This window comes from Homo sapiens, chromosome 12 (genome assembly GCF_000001405.40).
Source record: "Homo sapiens chromosome 12, GRCh38.p14 Primary Assembly".
Lineage (NCBI taxonomy): Eukaryota > Metazoa > Chordata > Mammalia > Primates > Hominidae > Homo > Homo sapiens.
Genome location: NC_000012.12, coordinates 25952609 through 25972587, shown reverse-complemented (window position 1 = coordinate 25972587; position 19979 = coordinate 25952609). Strand labels below are relative to the sequence as shown.

General features: G+C 43.4%; 1 protein-coding gene and 1 long non-coding RNA gene across 13 annotated transcripts in view, besides 4 other annotated features; one reads left to right on the top strand and one right to left on the bottom strand.

The window, feature by feature from the left end:
• The window catches only part of RASSF8 (Ras association domain family member 8), a 121658-nt gene extending 107302 nt beyond the window's left edge, over positions 1-14356 (bottom strand). For 7 of the 11 annotated variants that reach the window (NM_007211.5, XM_047428189.1, XM_047428188.1 and 4 more), the window contains exon 1: positions 13440-13906. The gene's annotated coding sequence lies outside the window, so the exon portion shown is untranslated. Of the gene's footprint in view, positions 1-13439; positions 13907-14245 lie in introns of those variants that run through there. The other 4 variants (NM_001394094.1, NM_001394096.1, NM_001394095.1 and 1 more) reach the window with 2 other exon arrangements.
• RASSF8-AS1 (RASSF8 antisense RNA 1) lies at positions 13146-17934 on the top strand. 2 transcript variants are annotated; one of them, NR_038228.1, is made up of 4 exons: positions 13146-13262; positions 15824-15949; positions 16241-16361; positions 17347-17934. It is a non-coding gene; the product is annotated as an RASSF8 antisense RNA 1 (long non-coding RNA). The 2 variants fall into 2 exon arrangements; NR_038227.1 differs by lacking the exon at positions 13146-13262 and adding an exon at positions 15003-15135 and having other exon boundaries at positions 15827-15949.
• Positions 13295-13344: a silencer, noted in NCBI's record as "silent region_4298". NCBI's record gives its function as "represses an Ori minimal core promoter by ATAC-STARR-seq in GM12878 lymphoblastoid cells {active_cell/tissue: GM12878}" and the evidence as "EXISTENCE:reporter gene assay evidence [ECO:0000049][PMID:35858748]".
• Positions 13485-13534: a silencer, noted in NCBI's record as "silent region_4297". NCBI's record gives its function as "represses an Ori minimal core promoter by ATAC-STARR-seq in GM12878 lymphoblastoid cells {active_cell/tissue: GM12878}" and the evidence as "EXISTENCE:reporter gene assay evidence [ECO:0000049][PMID:35858748]".
• Positions 13605-13704: a silencer, noted in NCBI's record as "silent region_4296". NCBI's record gives its function as "represses an Ori minimal core promoter by ATAC-STARR-seq in GM12878 lymphoblastoid cells {active_cell/tissue: GM12878}" and the evidence as "EXISTENCE:reporter gene assay evidence [ECO:0000049][PMID:35858748]".
• Positions 13805-14294: a silencer, noted in NCBI's record as "silent region_4295". NCBI's record gives its function as "represses an Ori minimal core promoter by ATAC-STARR-seq in GM12878 lymphoblastoid cells {active_cell/tissue: GM12878}" and the evidence as "EXISTENCE:reporter gene assay evidence [ECO:0000049][PMID:35858748]".

Genomic DNA, 19979 nt, shown 5'->3' with positions numbered 1-19979 from the left:
ACCCAAAGTACTGTAAATTCTTCATAAATACTTTTAATGGCTGTATAACAGTTCATCTGGAGCCTATACAATAATTTACTTAACCAGTGCCCTGATATTAACCATTAGATGTTTCTAATGTTTATTACTATAAATACTGCTGGAGTAAATGCCCTTACTCTTTTAGTTTTTTAGCCACTCTCTCCTCTTACTCAGCTTTATATATTTATAATATTACATATTATAGCTTATATAATATTTATGTACTTACTGTATCCTCAATGGTTGATAATAAACTTCCCCAAATCAAAGACCACTTCATTCTTCCTCATAACCTTATGTCAGTCTCCTGAATATGGTCAGTACTTACTATTTGTTGAAGTGTTTTCAGAAGCCAAGTAAAACTTCCACTCCTATTAATCTAGATTTCAGTATCACCTAAGTCATCCATGTAATATGAATGATTAAGTCAGTTATATTTCAAATTATTCGTTTGGTCTTCACACTTAGTGTCTACCGGCAGTTTGGCATGGTCCTGTTTTAGGGTATAAATTCACTCAACGACTAGCTGTGCTGGGCCCAAGGATCCAGTGGGAATCAGTAAGAGTCAGACAAGTGCCTGCCATTAAAGAGTCAGTGGATAACTAAATATGGATCCTGCTTTCCAGGAGACCCAAAGTCTAGCAGGGAAAGCAATACTAAACCAATCTGGACTTCTCACTCTCGTGATTGAAATCACAAGTGCTCAGATGGCAACAAATACCAGTTCCAGAGCCAAACTCTGAAAACTTCTCCTGGGTGGTTACTTTCATGTTTGTTAGTCTGTGGATGAATGTGTCTGCTGTATCTACAATACATTTTTAAGTGTTTTACAAACATTACTAATGCCATTGCATCTGCCAATGCAAAAGCACAGTACATTTTTTAAGCGCTAATAAAAAGAGACACACATCATAACAGAAACAAAAAGAAAGCTCATTGGAAACAGTTGAGAGTGGTGAAAAAATACTTTTCTTCTTCTTTTTTTTTCTTTTTTTTCCATATGAAATGAAAACTAGGAAGACTCCTGGAGGGCAAAGGATGAAGTACAAGCATTAATGACCGACCAGAACACAGAAGAGAGATCATCAGAAGTTTTTCCATTCTGAATATGCAACAGGATGATCAGTGCCAAAGGTGGGAACTTGGCCCAATGTTAGTTCAGGAGGCCAAAAAATTGTTCCACAACAGAAAGGCTGTGCATAACCAAGGCTCCTTACAATTCAAGAGGTAAGGAGTGAACTTGGAGATCAAGGGCTACTGAGGGGCTCCCCAGGGCCCCACGAAAATCATTAAGAAGCCATGTGTTTCCAGAGAGTTTTAATGCAGACAAAGCTGCTCCATTTTAGAAAAAGATAACCCTAGAACATCCAGCAGCAAGGACATAATCAGTTATAATGCTTCAAAGAACCAACTTGCATTCCTTGAACTGCATCGAGGGCTACAAGCTTAAAGACCTCTTAGTCACTTGAAACTCGTGAAGAAATGAGCTTAAGAAGAGCCTCTCAGAAGCTTAGTTGTTTAAAGTAGAGGGCTTCTAAAATTACAGCAAAGGAATAAGAACTATGTATGCATATGATATAGAAGGAAGGCACGATCACCTCCTAAGGGAGTGAGATCCTCCTTCAAGAGAAAGGGACAGCCAGGCTGGTTTTAATACCGTCAAGTGTTCTGGCAGGCAAAAAAGAGGATGAACCATTTCTTCATGTCATCAAATAGCATGTTCAGATGTTTCAGCATCAATGCATGGGAAGTCTTATTAATGTAGTCCTGTTGGCACCTGGTGCCCAGTGCCTGAGAACAGTCAAGGGATGGGAGGGCAGACAAGCAGTAAGGCAGGACAGCCATCTGACCAGCCCAGGGTGTGAGACCAGAGCCAGATGTCCGAGGTCCTGTGTATCGTAACAGTCTGAACTCAATCCTGTGGGCACTGAGGGTTGGGCTTTTAGCAGGTCAGTGACACAGTGAGATTTCTGTGTCCAAGAGCTCATCCGGCAACATGGAGGATGGGTTTCAGGCGGGGAGACCAGTTAAGAGGAAACAATCTAAATGAGAGATGATAAATTAGGATAGTGAATGATGGAAGATGGAGAAAATTTCCTCAGCTGTCCAGGAGGTAAAATCAGAACTAGATGAATTACTCAAGGTGAGGTGGCATAGGAAAGACAATATTAAGAGTAAGATGGATAATGGTCCCACAAATCCCGGCAGGAAATTAAGGAGGAAGTTAGGTGACACACTGATCCCGAGAAACTGACACATAGTTCAGTGGGCAGGGGCCCAGAAATCAGGGCACAGAGCACTGCAGGAGCACAGATCCGGACATTCAGCACCATAAAGGTTGGAGTAAAAACAATGAAGGTGGGTGACGGGTGAGATCACTCATAACAGAAATTCTTACATTCTTAGGATGTGAACTCCTTTCAGAACTTGATGAAAAATTCTGCAACCTCTCACCAAAAAAAAAAAAAAGTGGGGTCGTACAGGAAGAAAGAGAGTTTAAAAGCACATGAACATTTTGAGAAAAAATATCAGGGAGCTCGTGGGCTTCCCTGCTGCCCACACAGGGACTATAGGTTAAGAAATCTTGAGGAGGCAGGTGAGCGAGCAGAGACGGGAGGTGAGTGGGGGTCGGGGAAATAAAGGTCTAAAGCAGCATTTCTCATCCAGGATGCCACTGGCACATTTCAAGGAACAAGTCTTCACCAGATAGGATGCTGAGTACCCCTGGCCCAGCCCCTGGCCACTAAATACCAGAAATACCCATCTCTCCAGTCTGCAACAACCAAAACATGCACCCACATATTCCGGAATGGCACCACCCCACTGGAGAACCCCTGTTCAAGAGGGAGCAGACAAGGCAGCAAAGAAAACTTGGAAAGTTCCAGGATGGAAAGAAAAGCAGATCCAATCCTCCAGCCACCCCGCCAAAATATACCCAGGATGTGACCCTTCTCCTCACTTCCCCACCTCCACCATCAGCACCTCATCTAAGCCATCCCTTGCACGGATTGTTGCAATTATCTCCTAACTGGTCTTTCTACTTCTAGCCTTACTTCCCCTTGGCAAACACTTTCCATATAACAGCAGAGTGAACCTTTTCAATTTTACTAATTCTATTTAACAAACACTTTTATAATACTATCTGCCATGCTCTGTTCTTCACAAATATTAACTCTTCTAATCCTTACGACACTGTGAGACAGGTATCATTACTATCTCCATTTTACCGATAAGGCACAGAGAAGTTATGGAACTAATCCATGGTCCTACAGCCAGCAGGCAGACGGTTGGGTTTTTACCGCAGTAGCCAGCTCCGGAGTCTGTGCTCCTGCCTGCTACTCAGGCTGCAGTCCAGTTTATTCATTCCTCTATTCAAGACTCTCAACTGTCTTCTCACTCAGAGTCAAAACCAAGATCCTTGTCATAGCCAATAAGGCCTAAGGTATAGGGACCCCCACTACCTCCTCTGCCTCATCTCCAGCCCTTTGCTCCCCCCAGCCTTACCCGCATGGTGGCTGGGATGTGGGTACACATGTGAGCACTGGCTCCAGGGCCTCTGCACTGTGCCCTCTATCTGGAGCGTTCTTCCTGTAGGCAGCCAGAGAGCTGGCTCCTTCATTTCATTAAGGTCTCTACTCAAATGTGCTTACATTAGCAAGGGCTTCCTATCCATCCAATATCAAATAACACCTCTACTCCCACCCCTAGCATTTTCAATCCCCCCACCTTATTTTTTTCTCTAAAGCATTTATCACCAAATAAATAAAGTGAAAATATTTGTTCATTTATTATCTCTCTCCCCCTAGTACAGTGTGCTCTCCATGCAAACAGGAGCTTTGTGTGTTTTACTCTCTGCTATATCCTCATTCATGGAGGGGCATGCAGTTTGGCTTTGAATGAACAACTAAAAGGATGAACAAACAGGCTGGGTGCGATGGCTCATGCCTGTAATCCCAGCACTTTGGGAGGCTGAGGCGGGTGGATTACCTGAGGTCAGGAGTTTCAGACCAGCCTGGCCAACATGGTAAAACCCCCATCTCTACTAAAAATACAAAAATTAGCTGGGTGTGGTGGTACATGCCTATAATCCCAGCTACTCGGGAGGCTGAGGCAGGAGAATTGGTTGAGCCCGGGAGGCGGGGGCTGCAGTGAGCCGAGATCGTGCCACTGCACTCCAGCCTGGGCGACAGAGCGAGACTCTGTCTCAAAAAAATAAATAAATAAATAAAAAATAAAGAACAAAGAAAGAGTGATGCCAAGGAAGCAACGTTTCAAGATGGAGGGAGACAGCCCAACAGTGTAAACATGCTGCAAACAACTTCAGTTATATTAGGGCTGAAAAGTTTCCACTGGTTTAGGCAATTAAGATATGGATGCCTGTGGCATGAAACGTTTCTAAGAAATGGTACCTGGCTGGGGAGTGAGTTGGCAGGTGAAGTAGTAGAAGCAATAAGCACAGACAACCCCTGTAAGAAGCTGGCTGAGAAAGGAGACAGCTAGAAGCAGCACCAGGGTCAATGGACTTGACATATTGTTTCCAGGCCCAAAGCAAAAAGTCAAGGAAAGGCGAGACTGAATTCGGGAGAGAGGATGGATTACTGATAGAGAAGGGCCCCGAAGACAGCGGGATCCAGGGTGTGCATGGTGAGGAGCTCTTCTCCCATCCTTGCATGACTTGAACAGACAGGGTTGTCTCTAACTCCAGTTCTCTTCAGAGCTACTTGCCTGGATAGACTGCAGAGGGGTCAGTGCCTGTCCTCCCCAGAGAGCAGAGGCCTGTCCTGCCTCCCAGTTCAAACAAAATGATTATTCAGAGTTCATGGAGTTGGGTAAGGGGAAGGCACTAACTCTCCACTGAGGTACTTCATATCCATTTGTTTCTGTATGTGGACATACATAAACATCTCCTTTATTTCAAAACAACCCAGAGTGAAGAATCAGTGGCCCCATTTAGACATTAGAAACTTGAGGCTCGATAAGGCTCACAACTTCTTCAAGGCTACACCTGTGTAGCCAGGCTTTAACTTAAGTGGGCACTCTTTCCAATCATGCCATTACTCAGCAGAATACAACAGGGGAAGAAACACATAATCAAGAATAGAAAAATTAAAATTAAGTGAATGATCTAGGTTGGGAGGTTTTCAAAGAAAAGTAATATAATTATCAATAGGAAACATTTTTTAAAAAGTGTATTTGAGATTAGTTAAAAGGGATAAGGTATGTATGTACCCTCATCACCAGACTTTATTATTATAACAGAGAGCAAATAACAAAAAAAGAAAGGAAAAGAGGGAGAAGGAATGTCTGAGTAGGAAAGCCTTCCACAAAGGCTATTGTAAGGAAACTAGAAATGTGATTAAACGTGACAAAAACACATTATCAAGTACTGGCTTGGAGATAGCTGCTTTTCATTTAGTTGGTCATCCAGCTGTGATAATTAACAATACTGTGTAATACCATGTGTATATCAACTGATACAATAAAAAAGGATATAACAGACAACTGATTTTTGACAAGGGTGCAAAGGCAATTCAATGGAGAAAGAATAGTCGTTTCAACAGTGTTGGAACAACTGAATTTCCATATGCAGAAAATTAACTTCCATCCATAACTCACACCATGTAAGAAATACAAAATGCATCACAGATCTAAATCTAAAACATAAAACTTCTAGAAGAAAACATAGGAGAAAATCTTTATGACCTTAGGCTAGGCAAAGATTTCTTAAATACCACACCAAAAGCCCAATCTATAAAAAACAAATTTATAAGTTGAACCTCATCAAAATTAAAACCTTCTGCTTTTCAAAAGTCACTGTTAAGAAAACGATGAGACACAAACTGGGAGAAATTCTTTGCAAAGCATATATTTGATGAAACACTTGTATTCAAAATATATAAGAATTCTCAAAATTTAATAATAAGAAAACAACCCAATAAAAACATCAGCAAAAGACTAGGACACTTCACCAAAGAAGATACAAAGATAGCATAAAAAACACATGAAAAGATTCTTTACATCACTAGTTGTTAGGGAAATGCAAATTAAAACCACAATGATGGCTGGACACATGGCTCATGCCTGTGATCTCAACACCGGGAGGCCAAGGTGGGAGGACTGCTTGAGGCCAGGAGTTCAAGACCAGCCTGGGCAACATAGCAAGACCTCATCTCTACAAAATAAAATATTTTAAAAAACAGCCGGGCATGGTGGCACATGTGTGTGGTCCTAGCTACTTGGGAACTATGACTGTACTACTGTACTCCAGCCTCGGCAACAGAGCAAGACCCTGTCTTTAAAATTAAAAAAATAAAAATTTTAAAAACCCACAATAAAATACCACAAATGTCTAAAAAAGACCAACTATGCCAAGTGTTGACAAGGATGCAAAGGAAACAGCATGTTTACCTGCTGGTGGTTAAGAATGTAAAATGGTACAATCACTTGGGAAAACAGTTTGGCAGTTTCTTAAAAAGCTAAGCATACACCTACCATAAGATCCAGCCATTCCACTCCTGGGTACTTACCCAAGATAAATGAAAGTATATGTCTATACAATACTTGTATGCAAGTATTCATAACAGCTTTATTTGTAATAGCCAAAAATTAGCAACAAATCTAATGTTCATCAATAGGTAGATAAATGAATTGCTGTGTACTCACACAATGAAATACTACTCAGCAATGAAGAGGAATAAACTACTACTACATAAATCAACATGAATGAATCTCCAAACCATTATTCTGAGTTTAAGAAGCCTCAACAACAAAAAAAAGTATATTACTGCATAATTCCATTAATCTAAAATTCCAGAAAATTTGAACTACTCTATAGTGACAGCAGACCAGTGGTTTAGAGGAAACGGGAGAATGAAAGGAAGATAAATTACAAAGGAGAATGAGAAAATTTGGGGTGGGCATGGTGGCTCTCGCCTGTAATCCCAGTACTTTGGGAGGCTAAGGTGGGCGGATCATTTGAGGTGGAGAGATAAGCCTGGCCAACATGGCAAAACCCAGTCTCTACTAAAAATACATAACTTAGCCAGCCATGGTGGCACAAGCCTGTAGTCCCAGCTACTCGGGAAGCTGAGGCAGAATTGACTGAACCTAGGAGGCAGTGGTTGAGTGAGCCAAGATCATGCCACTGTACTCCAGCCTGGGCAACAGAGCAAGACCCTGTCTCAAAAAAAAAAAAAAAAAAAAGAAATTTGGGAAAGTGATGTGGGAATGATTTCATGTGTATACATAGATCAAATCTTGTAAAATTGTACAGTTAGGTATGTGCAGTTTATTGTGTGTCAATGATATCTCAATAAAGCTGTTTAAGGCTGGGCACGGTGGCTCATGCCTGTAATCCCAGCACTTTGGGAGGCCGAGGCAGGCGGATCACGAGGTCAGGAAATCAAGACCATCCTGGCTAACATGGTAAATCCTGTCTCTAATAAAAATGTAAAAAATTAGCTGGGCGTGGTGGCGGGGACCTGTAGTCCCAGCTACTCAGGAGGCTGAGGCGGGAGAATGGCATGAACCCGGGAGGCGGAGCTTGCAGTGAGCCAAGATCGTGCCACTGCACTCCAGCCTGGACGACAGAGCAAGACTCCGTCTCAAAAAATATATAAATTAATTAATTAAATAAAGCTGTTTAAAAAAAGAAATATAAGGGAAGTCATTATACACTAAAAAGAAAAAATACAGCACAAATAAACTACTATAAGATATTCTGACATTTAACGTATTAGAACTTCCCATAGAAATGAACAAATTTTACCTTCAACATTACAAAACATCCCTATTTCTCACTGGTATTTTTACAGTAGAGTTTCATCGATTATAAATCCACTCAAATATTTTAAGCAAAAATAAGGGTAAAACCTTACTTTCTGCCCAATATCTATCCATTAAAGAGAATCCCAATTTCTTTTAAACATATATACTTGTATCTGGAAGAATAATTTAGTCTTAAGCGATTTTCCAATAGTAAAATTACTATAAGGATAAACATGATTTAGCACTCACGAGCCAATGATAGCTAACAACAGTGACCAAATATAACAACAGTGACAAAATATATTACCTACATAAAACCTGGTAGCAAACCATCACAGCTCTCCTCTTGTTATAACCTGCATTTACATCTGATTTCTTTTTAAAACAAAGAGTAAAACATATGCTAATGAGTAAGAAAATATTTTGCTGCATACATAAAATTTGGACAGCCCTACAGTTCACTGCAATATTTTGTGATATATCTGAATGTGATTTAAAAAAAAAAAAAAACACTTGCTAAGAATAGCTTTCTAAATCCTATAGCAAGTCTGTGAAATAAATGGGTAATAAATATTATTGGTGTTAAAAAGCTCAAGGCAACTTGTTCAAGGTCACCCAAGTAACCAGTGGACATATATACATGGTGGAAAAAAAATAACAAGGGTTCCCAACCATAACTTTCCTCTCCTCCACAGTGGCAGCTACTCGTGATGCGAATGTCCTGCAGGCACAGAGGGCCTACACGAGGCAAATCACCTGGTGTGCCCCTCTCAGGGCTTGCTCTCAACATTTTTAAAATCAGGTCTAAATAAGCACCAGGGTAAGGGTCTGGCTTGCAGGGGCATCTCTCTCTTCTCATGCCTTCCTGACTAGAAAATCAGGAGTGGGGAAATGTAGGAACAAAAGGAACAATTTTCTTTTGTGAAGCAAATATATGGAAAGAAAGCCTAAGCTTCACTTTTCCAATTCTGACCAGATAAACTACTCACTCCTCCTCTTCGAGAGCACCCAACAGGGGCTCAAAAATGCTGCTTTCATCCTCCTTGCTCTCCCAACCCAAGAGCACCCAGGCTACGGAAACCTCAGGGTCCAGACCACTCAAAGGATCACAGTTTGGGAACCCCCGAGGTGGACTGCAGAGGAGTACGTTCTGAAGGACTTGAATCAGCTCCAAAGTGCCCCCACACACTCAGTGATCTATAAGATACAAAACTAGAAAGAACTAGAACTACACTCTAAGGGTGTGAGGAAATGATTTTTAAGGAATACTAAAGTCCTAAAAAACAAGTCAAGAGAAAAATGCAGAATTATGTAAGAAGTAGAGATTACAAACATCAATAACAGACATAAGTACTTCAGAGTTAGAGGACATCAAGCTAATATTTCGTAAAGAGCAACCACATGACAAAAATACTCAAAGCTGTAAGCCTTCCTTGGCCTTGGAAGGTCATGAGACTTTTTTTTTTTTTTTTTTTTTTGGCTAAAACAAGGAATGCTTTAGTGAGAGAGAAGAAAAGAACTTCCAGACTTCTAGGTGGCTCCCACTTTTTTTAAAAAAAACTCCTCCTCTCTCTTAAGTGTATGGTCCAGTGATGTCTGGTTACCATGCAAGTCACATCAACAGCTGGACAGCACTGAGCATCCTTAGAACTCTAGGTCTTGTTTTTCTACTAAAGTTTTCCCAATCTTCCTTTGATGTCTGGCACCACCAGCCGACAGCAGCTGACTAACGTGTTATCATGTGACGCTCTGTAAAATAGTAAGGCACAGTAAGATTTTTTTTCCTTTCAGTAAGCTTATGCTGATAAAAAAATAATTATTTTAATGATGTATTTAGAAAAAGGATTATGTACAACAGAAAGTCACAAGGGTAACACTAATTAAAAGGTGTCTCAATTTATTACTACGAATATTTCACAGAACCTACATGCATTTTTACCTGATATTTGCAAAGGCCGTTTCATATTATACATATAACCAGCAAAGAAGGAATATAGAAAAGTGTGGGTCTGGCTTTTCTATCATGAAAAGCAAATTTAACAGTGATAAAGAAGGCAATCAAGATACAAATACAGAAGCCAGGCATGGTGGCACACACCTGTAGTCCCAGCTACTCAGGAGGCTGAGGCAGGAGGATCACTTGAGGCCAGGAGTTTAAGACCAACTGGGCAACATAGTAAGACTCCATTTCAAAAAAAAAAGATAAAGATACAAACTGATATTACGATCTTACTCATTATATCAACATATTTATTGAGCACCTACTACATATACTGGGCACTGGTGATTAAACCAGGTATTATCAACTTCATATTAACCTAAAGGGCAAGAAAAGGACCCTAAGTGATTAAATAATATATAAATTGTGGTAAATATTCAGAAGCAAAAGTGATTACGCTATGAGGGAGAAAATAAAGGACATTTAATTCGCATGACGATAAGGGTGGGCTTGTCAGAGAAGACCTTTATGAGAAAGGACATTTGAGCTAGCACCCAAGGATGATAAGTTACTCAAGGAGATGATCCTAAAATAGGGAGACCAACAGCATGAGCCACAGGCCTGAGGCTAGTCTGCTGGAGAACTGGCCAAGATGACAGCAAGAGATGCAAGTGGATGTAGAGATCAAATCATGCAGGATCCTGAAGTAATGTCAAGGATTTGGTATCTTATCCCAAAAATAAATAAATGTGTTTCCTGAGAGCCCTGACAACTTTAAGACGGCAAATACTTTTTCTTTTTTTTTTCAGGCTGCTGGTAGTAAAACAGACTGCAAGGGGTGCAGAGTGTGTGCAGGAGGCACCGCACCAAGGAAAAAGATAATACAGTACAGTGGCTTGCATTAGGATGGCAGAATAGTGGGGACTGAAAATCAGACCGGTTTGAAAGAGATTTTGCAATAAAAATGGACAGCAGGACTTTATGATGGACTGGTTTGCTAGGGCTGATAGAAGAAAAGAGAGAGTGGAGTGAGCTACTCCTTGGATGGATGAGATGAAAAATGGAGGGGGAACAGTTTGAAAGTTTGAGTGACCAAGAGCTCAATTCTGAAGGAGTTTGAGATGTTGTCATTTATTGGCTGAAATGTGCCAGGCACATCTAATATATATTAGATGTTCTACTCACCATAGCATCCCTTTAAGTAGTGGTATCCCCATTTTCCAGAAATGCAACTGTAGATCACAGAGGCTGAAGTGGCATGGCCGAGCTCACTCACCTCGGGAGTGACAAAGTCACACGTGCAACCCAAGTCTGGCTGGCAGTGGGGTAAACATTCTTTCCACTATACAGAATACTTGGAAACTCTCTCTACACTTTGAATTTTTAAGTCTATTTAGGGTTAGAGCAAGTTAGCATCAAAGAAGAGTAAATAAACGTTATATTATTTTGTAATCCAAATCTTTAATTTATGATGCATGTTTTTCTATCCAACTCCCATTCCCACTCCACTTTTACTTGCAAAGAGTTTTGTAATGTTTTGAACACTAGCAAGATATCTAAGATCTTAATGTTTTATAATAAAGGAGCAAAGCCATTATGCCAGGAATTAACCATAAGAAAAAGACAACAATATCCCACGGCAAACAATATTTTTACTTCCAAGTCATTATATACATCAACATAAAACAGATCAATTAATGAGTCAGAAACCCTGAAGAACTAATCATTTCTCAAAACACAAGGCAGTCAGGTCAAAAACTGACGTAAGTCACCACGTATAGAAGCCTACAAGAGCCAAACACTGAAGATTCAGGTTAAAAGGTTGCAACCTTAAAAAAATAAATAAAAGGCAAAACAAATTATACAACCATGTCGAATTTTAAATCTGTAATTACCAAATATCTGAACCAAATGCCAAATTCAGGAAACATGCATCCTATAAACAACTTAAACACTCTCTGTTCTTTGTAACTGTTTTTTCCAGAAGCACACTGACACTTCTGCAAAGTGAAGTGCCTTTCCTGCCTGCACAGCCCCATGATTTGCTCCCTCTCAGGGCCCTCTAATGCACCCCTAAGCTACTAAAGCCCAGACATAAGATTTGATCAATAAACCTAGAAAGAACTCAGTGCATTACTGCCAATTGTGTCCATCACAGAAAGTACCACCTGGAGACTCTTGAGGAAAAAAATGAGGAAGGGGGAGATTTTTGAAAGGTTTTATCATCTGTATTACAAATTATATTTTGTTGTACTTGATCCTTGAATAGAATAATCATCAAACTATGTTCAGTCTTCTTCAAGTGGGGGATGGTCATGTGTAATTTTATGGTTTGGGGAGTGTGCCTCATAGAGATAAATAAAATTAAAAGTACCATTAGTATGCCCGCTAAAAGATAAAACTCACACAAACCACTTCCCCAAATGATAGTGCTGTCTCCTGCGTCCTGATTTTTGCGTCCACCCTGCACCTCTCCCTGCAGAAAGCTGGCTGGCATTCACTACCGCCTCACTCTGGCAAAGGACAGGATGTCGAAAACCCATTAAGAAAGCTTCTCATTTTCTGTTCCTTCATAACATGATGGCAACTCCTGGCAACTCCAAGATGAAAGGCAAAAAAGAAAATAAAAACTACCTGGGGCCCCCTACCAGAATGAGTGGTTAATCTAATGGAGAGAAAAGCAGAGATTTATACATATTTTAAAATGCTTCCTGGGGACAAAGCAGATCTAATGAATTGCTGAGCCACAATCTACTGGAAAATCCATAAATGTTCGTCCCTGCTGTCACAGGGCTAGAGGATTTTTTTTTTTAATGAAATGCTTTAATGCTAACCTGACAGGGCTAACCTGACAGGTTTAAGTCAGCTATGAGACGTGATTTGCATTCATTTCGCTTCTAAATCCCTAAAGATCAGCAACAATATTGACCCGCAATTATATATCCTACGTTGCACTGTTCAAGATGCCATTTGAGGCTGGGAAAGTAGTGGTTTAGCAACACCAGGCGGCTCTATGATGCTAAAATAACAACGCAACACTGGATTCCGAACCCAAGTACTCATCTTTTAAAACCCAGTGCCGCACCAGGACCCACATTCAAAGCTCGCGTCCCTTCAAGTTGAATCTTCCGGCTTTGTGCGATTTACCCTCTCAAACTTTCTAGTTTGCAAGTCAGAATTACTTTGAACGTCCCCTCTTCTGGACTCCCCTCCCCAAAGGGACTGGCGGCAAAGGAGAATAGAATGCAGATGGTTAATAGTTCAAATGAAATTTAAAAACCTATAAACCAATATTTTTTTAGAGGAGAAAAGCGTTCACCAAACCGCCACCCGGCAAGCGAGCATCCGATTTCCATCCGGAGGAAAAAATATTTTAAAAACCAGACATAAAATTCCCTTTGCAAGAAAAGTGGCCTCTAAACTCCCTTGCCAAGGACACTGGGAGGAAGCAGAAAAGCAAAGACCAAGCTCGTACTTTTCAGTCCGCGGCTTGTGTGCCGCGAGGAGAGGCGCAAAGGGTGACACACCAGGAAAGGTGAACGCAGAGGGAGCGGGAGCCCGCGGCGGGGCAGGGTGGGGGCGGAACGGACGAGGTACCCAAGGTGCGGAGAGAGGGGCAACCGGGCGGAGGGCAGCTCCGAGGCTGCAGGCGGGACGGGCGGGGTCCCCGGCGCAGCCCGGATCGCCGCCGCTAAGTAAAGTTAATACTTACTCAGTTTCGCAACTGCGCCGCCCCCGCAGGCCGCCCAGAGGGGCCGGCCGGGGCGCTGGGGACGCGGCGGCACCCGGAGCTCCGCGGCCGCCCAGCGCCCGTCCCCGCGCCGCACTCCCCGGCACTCCCCGGCGCTCCCCGCGCCGCGCGCCCCGCACCGGCTGGAGGCCCCGGCCCCCCGGCGTTCCCTCTCCGCGCACCTCCCGGCCCGCGCTAGGTGAGTGTGGACGCCACTGGCGGGGGTGCCGCGGTGCGCGAGCGCTCGGCCAGCGGCAGAGACGCCGCGGGAGCCGCCCCCAGCGCCAACGCCGCCGCGGGCGGGAAGGGCGAGGCTCGGCGAGGCTGGGCGAGGAGCTGGGCGGCAGACGCTGAGCGGGGCGCGGCGCGGGGCGCCGGACGAGCGCGGGCGTAGGAGGAGCGCGGGCGTAGGAGTCGGCGACCCGCTCGCTCCCGCGGCCGGTGCCTCTGGGCTGGGGGCCGGGCTGGGGGCCGGGCCGGGCCGGGCCGGGCCGGGCGGCCAGGCGGCTCCGCCCCTTCGCCGGGCAGCGGCTGAGCGCGCGAGAGGAGCGGCGCGGGGGCGCCCCCCTCGGCCGGGCGCTCGGGTTTCAGCCGCCGCTCCTCCGCGCCCCGCCCGCGCCTGGCCCGCTCGCCGGCGCCGGGAGAGACCTCGTAACGGAACTGGGACGCCAGCGCTGCATTGTGGGAGCTTTTAAAGCGGCGGGGAGCTCGGCGCGACCCTCGGGCCCACCGGGCCACGCTCGCCCGGCCCGCGACGCCCCCCCGCTGTCGCCTGGCCCGCGACGCACCGAGGCCTGAGGACCCGAAAGCCGGGCGCGGGGAGATGACCGGTGGCTCGTGACGGTCCCACGGGCAAAATCTTCCATCGCCCGGGGCTGAGACTTGTCAAACTGCCCTCTACGGTCACCCGGAAAGTAGGAGGCTTTTTCTGCAGAGGGGAAAAAAATCAAAAAGAGCCGTTCCATCCCCCCTCCAAGGACTGGGTTTGAATTGCTTTTCATCTGCAGTGGCTGTGATTCAGCGTCCCTCTTAGCAGCAGGCAATGACAGAGGCAGGAGAGGGGAAAAAAAAAAAGAAAGAAAGAAAAAACACAGCAAATGAATCAAACGGACGTGAGTAACAAAAGTTTAGAAAGAGCTGGGCTCGTATTCAGAAAAAACGCCTCATCCCCCCGCCCCGCTGCACTCCCAACCCCTTTAAAAATAGCAGATAATCAAGAAAGGAAACGGGTGCTTTCATATGGAAATACAGATGTGTATGTTGTTTTCAATATTCTACTGTTTTTTTGTGTGTGGCATGCAATTACTCAGGCACTGGGCAAAATTCAGCCTTTGGATTTTGTGGTCACACATACCCCAACTCCGCAACAGCTATTAATTTGCAGGGCGATGGGGTGCGGATAGTGGATGAGATACAAGAAAGCATTCCAATTAAAATGCCCCCCCCCACCCCGCCTTTTAATTTTCCAGACACTTGCTTTTATTTTTCTTTTTTTAAACATCATCAAAACAAGAATATTAAACTTGAAGCAGAATTTGTTACAGCGTATCTGACTCAGGACCTGATTTAAGGTTTGGGGTTTTTTGGCCCTTTGTTTCTTCCTCTTGTTTTTTGACCTTTAGTTACTCCACACCTCATTAGTTCCTTGACCTGCAGGTGGACTGAGAAGAGAGCCATGGTAAGACTCAAATTTGTCAAATCAACATTTGGAGAGGAGAAAGTTCACTGTGATTCAAATGCAAAACCAAAGGGAATATGATTTAAAAGTCAACCTGGAGGGCATGGATCCTCCCTTAACCCTACTTGACTCTTTTCAAAGGAGTTGCCTAGCCTTAAGGTGAATGTTTCCTAACCTCTCATTCCCTTCTCAGCCTTTCACTCCACTGAACAACATCAGCCATTGCTTAATTGCCAAATCTAATGGAAAAATTTAATTCCCATCTTGTGCCCTTTGTGGCATTTGCCAATGTTGACCTCTCCTTCTTAGAACTTTCTGCCTTTTGGCCGGGCGCGGTGGCTCATGCCTATAACCCCAGCACTTTGGGAGGCCAAGGCTGGCAGATTGCCTGAGGTTGGGAGTTCGAGACCAGCCTGACCAACATGGAGAAACCCCGTCTCTACTAAAAATACAAAATTAGCCGGGCATGGTGGCACATGCCTGCAATCCCAGCAACTGGGAGGCTGAGGCAGGAGAATCGCTTGAACCTGGGAGGCAGAGGTTGCAGTGAGCCGAGATCACGCCATTGCACCCCAGCCTGGGCAACAAGAGCGAAACTCCATCTCAAAAAAAAAAAAAAAAAAAAAAAAAAAACTTTCCTCCTTTCTTTGGCTGTGGTAGTGATCCCTCTTTTGTGTACTTCTTGAAGCAGGTAGCAGGCAAGAGTGTGGTTATCGTTGGACCAGGATTCAGGATCTGACTGAGTAGCTGACTCTTAATCCAGTTTGTGTTGATCACCAGGAGGATCTGGACCTCAGTATTACCACATCTAGAGGTGAGCAAGTTGACTGACTCTTGATAACTAACTCTTATATGATGAGCATTTATATCAGGACAGAACTTCCTGATTGGATAACAATACCTACTATTTAGGAAAAACCCTTCCTAAAAATCCAGGTATCCTCACCTCCAGTCTTACTGATGGCTGCCAAAGTCAGTGAATTTGCCTCCATTCAGTGCTGGATAAGTGCAGAAAAATCTTTACCCTACCTAGCCCATTTGGTTAATGCGTTCTTTCTTCAGAGTGTAGTACAATTTGTTTTAAGCTTTTTTTTTTTTTTGGTAGCTATAATCACATCCCTGTTAAGCCTTCCTGAGATCACACCAAATGTCCTTGATGGGAATTGTAAACAACCCTTACTTCTGGTTTCTAATGATATTCCAGGAAAGGAGCCTAACTAGAGTCAGTGAGTATTCATGCACTTCAAACCCTGTGACATAATAAGATTTGATTTTTAAGAAAACAACTTGAGAGGATGGATTCAGAAAAGAGGCAGATCCAAGGGAGAGTCTAAACTGGAGAGCAGTGGCAATGAACAGGAGGAGGCCATATCGAGAGATGAATTGATCATCTTATAGACCTGGAGGTCAGAAATCTAAAATCAAAGTGTGGGCTGTGTTCCTTCTGGAGGATCGAGGGGAGAATCCATTTCCTTGCCCTTTTCAGCCTCTAGATGCCACCTGCATTCCTTGGCTTATAGTCCCTTTCTCTATGTTTAAGGCCAACTGCATAGCATCTTCCCCCATTTCTTTGTAACTTCTGCTTCATGGTGATGGGGACATCTCTCTCTCTGATCGTAGGAATTGATTTAGATGCTTTTCTAGCCATATGTATTATGAACTAAATGCAGTTGAATTACTTATGGGAGGAAATGGCAGGTGACCTCATTACTTGTCAAATCATCGTTAGATAACTGACTTGACTGTTAAGATTGCTGAAGCAGTGATTTATTACCTCAGCTAAATCTGTATCAATCTGGTGACCCGTGTAACTGAAACCAAGATGTTAACACTGTAAGAAAACCTAGCTTATGTTTGCAGCTCCTGAGAATAAATCCCTTTATCTTGAAATACCTGGAAATCCCTTTTTAATGTCCAGTGGAGTCATATTGCCAAGTTTGAGAAATGTGTCTAGACCAGTATTTCCCAAACAGCCCACCAGACAACACCAGCCTGTAAGATGGTGATATTGTTTGGATGTTTTTTCCCTCCAAATTTCGTGTTGAAATGTGACCGCCATGTTGGAGTTGGACCTAGTGGAAGGTATTTGGGTGATGGGGAATCTCTTGTGTGGCTATGTACCTTCCCTGCAGTAATGAGTTCATGAAAGATCTGGATGTTTAAAAGAGTCTGTGATCTTCCTCCTCTCTCTCTTGCTCCTGTTCTTGCCAGGTGATATGCCAACTCCACCTTTGCCTTCCACCATGTTTGGAAGCTCCCTGAGGCCTCACCAGGAGCAGATGCTCGTCCCATGCTTCCTATAAGCCTGCAGAACTGTGAGCCATAATAAACTGTGAATTATAAATTGCCTTTATAGCAATGCAAATGGACCAGTACAGATGGGATGCTGGGAAGACAGTTGTTTCCACCTTCAGTAAAGTCCGTGGAACACAGTTGTGACTATATTCTAGGCCAGCCAAGATGCTTGTACTCAGAAAGGAGTGGTCTCAGGACCATAAGAAAGTGAAAAAATAAAAATAAGAAAATAAAGAAGGGATTGTCAATGAATCAGAATTCATCAAGGTCAAAGTCTTAGGAAATTCCTTCATGAGGAAGTCTAGGGGGGCTATGGAAATGAAATTTTTAAACAAATAGGTATGTGGTGCTGGCAGGAATAAATTATGGACTTATGAATATAACATAAGATTCTTTATTACCTGGTCTCACCCGTCTTTCCACCTCTGCCCCCCTTCTTGCCCGACTCTGTGTATCACCCATAATAAACTACTTACAGCTTCCTAGTGTTAAATTTACCCTAAAGCTGCCTCCTTCAATATTTTAAGTTTAACCTAAAGGTTCTTCATACATAGTGAACTATAACCCAATGATTAAACAGATTGTAACCTACTCTTGTACCAGTCACCAAGTTTCAGCCAATCAGAGGTGGCCAACTGTTCAAACCATGCTCAAATAAGGGAAATGTCATGGTGTAACTAATCCAGCTGTTTCTATACCTTACTTCTGTTTTCTTAGGTCACTTTCCTTTTTTGTCCATAAATTCTCTCCAACCACTCAGCAGCACTGGAGTCACTCCAAAGCTATCCTGGTTCAGGGGTCTGTCTGATTCACAAGTCATTCTTTGTTCAATTGAGCTCTGCTAAATTTAATTTGTCTGAAGTTTTTCTTTTAACAGATGGTGTCAGAAATGGACCCCAAAGTAGAGCTCCCAGTGATCCCCCAGGAGCACTGAGTGACCACAAGGGGTACCTGCTGGGCCCGTCCTCTCGCAGTGTCCACTGCTCTCTTACAGCAACTGGAGATTGTGGCTGCATTCTCTCTCAGATTCTGAAGCTCCATACATTGCCGTTTTCAGCTGTTCAAGCTTGCTTGAGCAAATTTTTGATCTTAGCTGAGTTTGGAAGTCGATAGACATTGGACTGGGTCCAGGATTTGATTGGATCTGATAATTAACTGGCTTGGATCCAGTTAGATGCCTCGGTTATCTGACTGGGTCAGATAGAAACCGCCAGTAAATATTTTAATAACAATACTGCAGGGGTATGAACTCTGGCTTTAAGAAACTCACAAGGAATTTTATGTTCTATACCCTTTGTTTCTTTTTCTTGTGTGCTTCGGTCAGGAAAAATCATTAGTCAAGTTAATCAAGGGGATCTGAGAGCCAAATACAAGATTCAACGTAAAAATGGAATCCTTGGGCTAGGCGTGGTGGCTCAGGCCTGTAATCCCAGGACTTTGGGAGGCTGAGGCAGGCGGATCACCTGACCTTAGGAGTTCGAGACCAGTCTGGCCAACATGGTGAAACCCCGTCTCCACTAAAAATACAAAAATTAGCCAGGCGTGGTGGTGGGCACCTGTAATCCCAGCTACTTTGGAGGCTGAGGCAGGATAATCACTTGAACCCAGGAGGCAGAGGTTGCAGTGATCTGAGATTGCACCACTGCACTCCAGCCTGGGCAAAAGAGCGAGACTCCATCTCATAAATAAATACATAAATAAATAAAGAAATCCTTAATTTCTGCGGAACTGAGTGCTCTACCTTCTGGCTACACCTACGTATACCTGTATGAGGTATAGGCCCTGGAAGCAGCAAACACTTACAGAAATGGTGAAATCTTACTAAAGGTAATCTAAAGTTATGGTGGAACATCCCAAATGAACAACACTGCACTTTAGGAAGTACATATAAAAATGAAGTCTCCCAATTTAGTATTATTCAGGGATGGCTGTTGAAGTTCAGAAGCTTCTAAAAAGATTCCAATAATTTTACAGATTCTTTTAAAAGATTCTTTGTAAAAGGCAAATAAAAAGCTTAAGTGACTAATCAGAAAAATTAGGTCTTCTAACCTTTTGTCATTGTTACTGTCTTGCCCTGAAAGGGAAAAGAAAGCTGGATAAAGTATTTATAGAAGATAGAGGACCTGTGGTGGCTCATGCCTGTAATCCAAGGTGGAAGGATTGCTTGAGGCCAGAAGTTCAAGACCAGTCCAAGCAACATAGCAAGGCCCCATCTCTACAAAAAATGAAAATAAAATTAGCCGAGCGTGATGGCTCATGCCTGTAGTTCTAGCTTCTAGAGAGGCTGAGGCAGGAGGATTGCTTGAGTCCAGGAGTTCAAGATTACAGTGAGCTATGGTCACACCACTGCACTCCAGCCTGGGTGATGGAGTGAGACTGTCTCAATAAAAAGACAAAAAGGTAAGCCCTTAGGTAAAGTAAGCTTGCTTCTTTGTTAGAGCTATCCATGCTGAGTCCAGGCAAAGAAAATGCTTTCTTTGGCCTGGTGCGGTGGCTCATGCCTGTAATCCCAACACTTTTGGAGGCCAAGGTGGGCAGATCACAAGGTC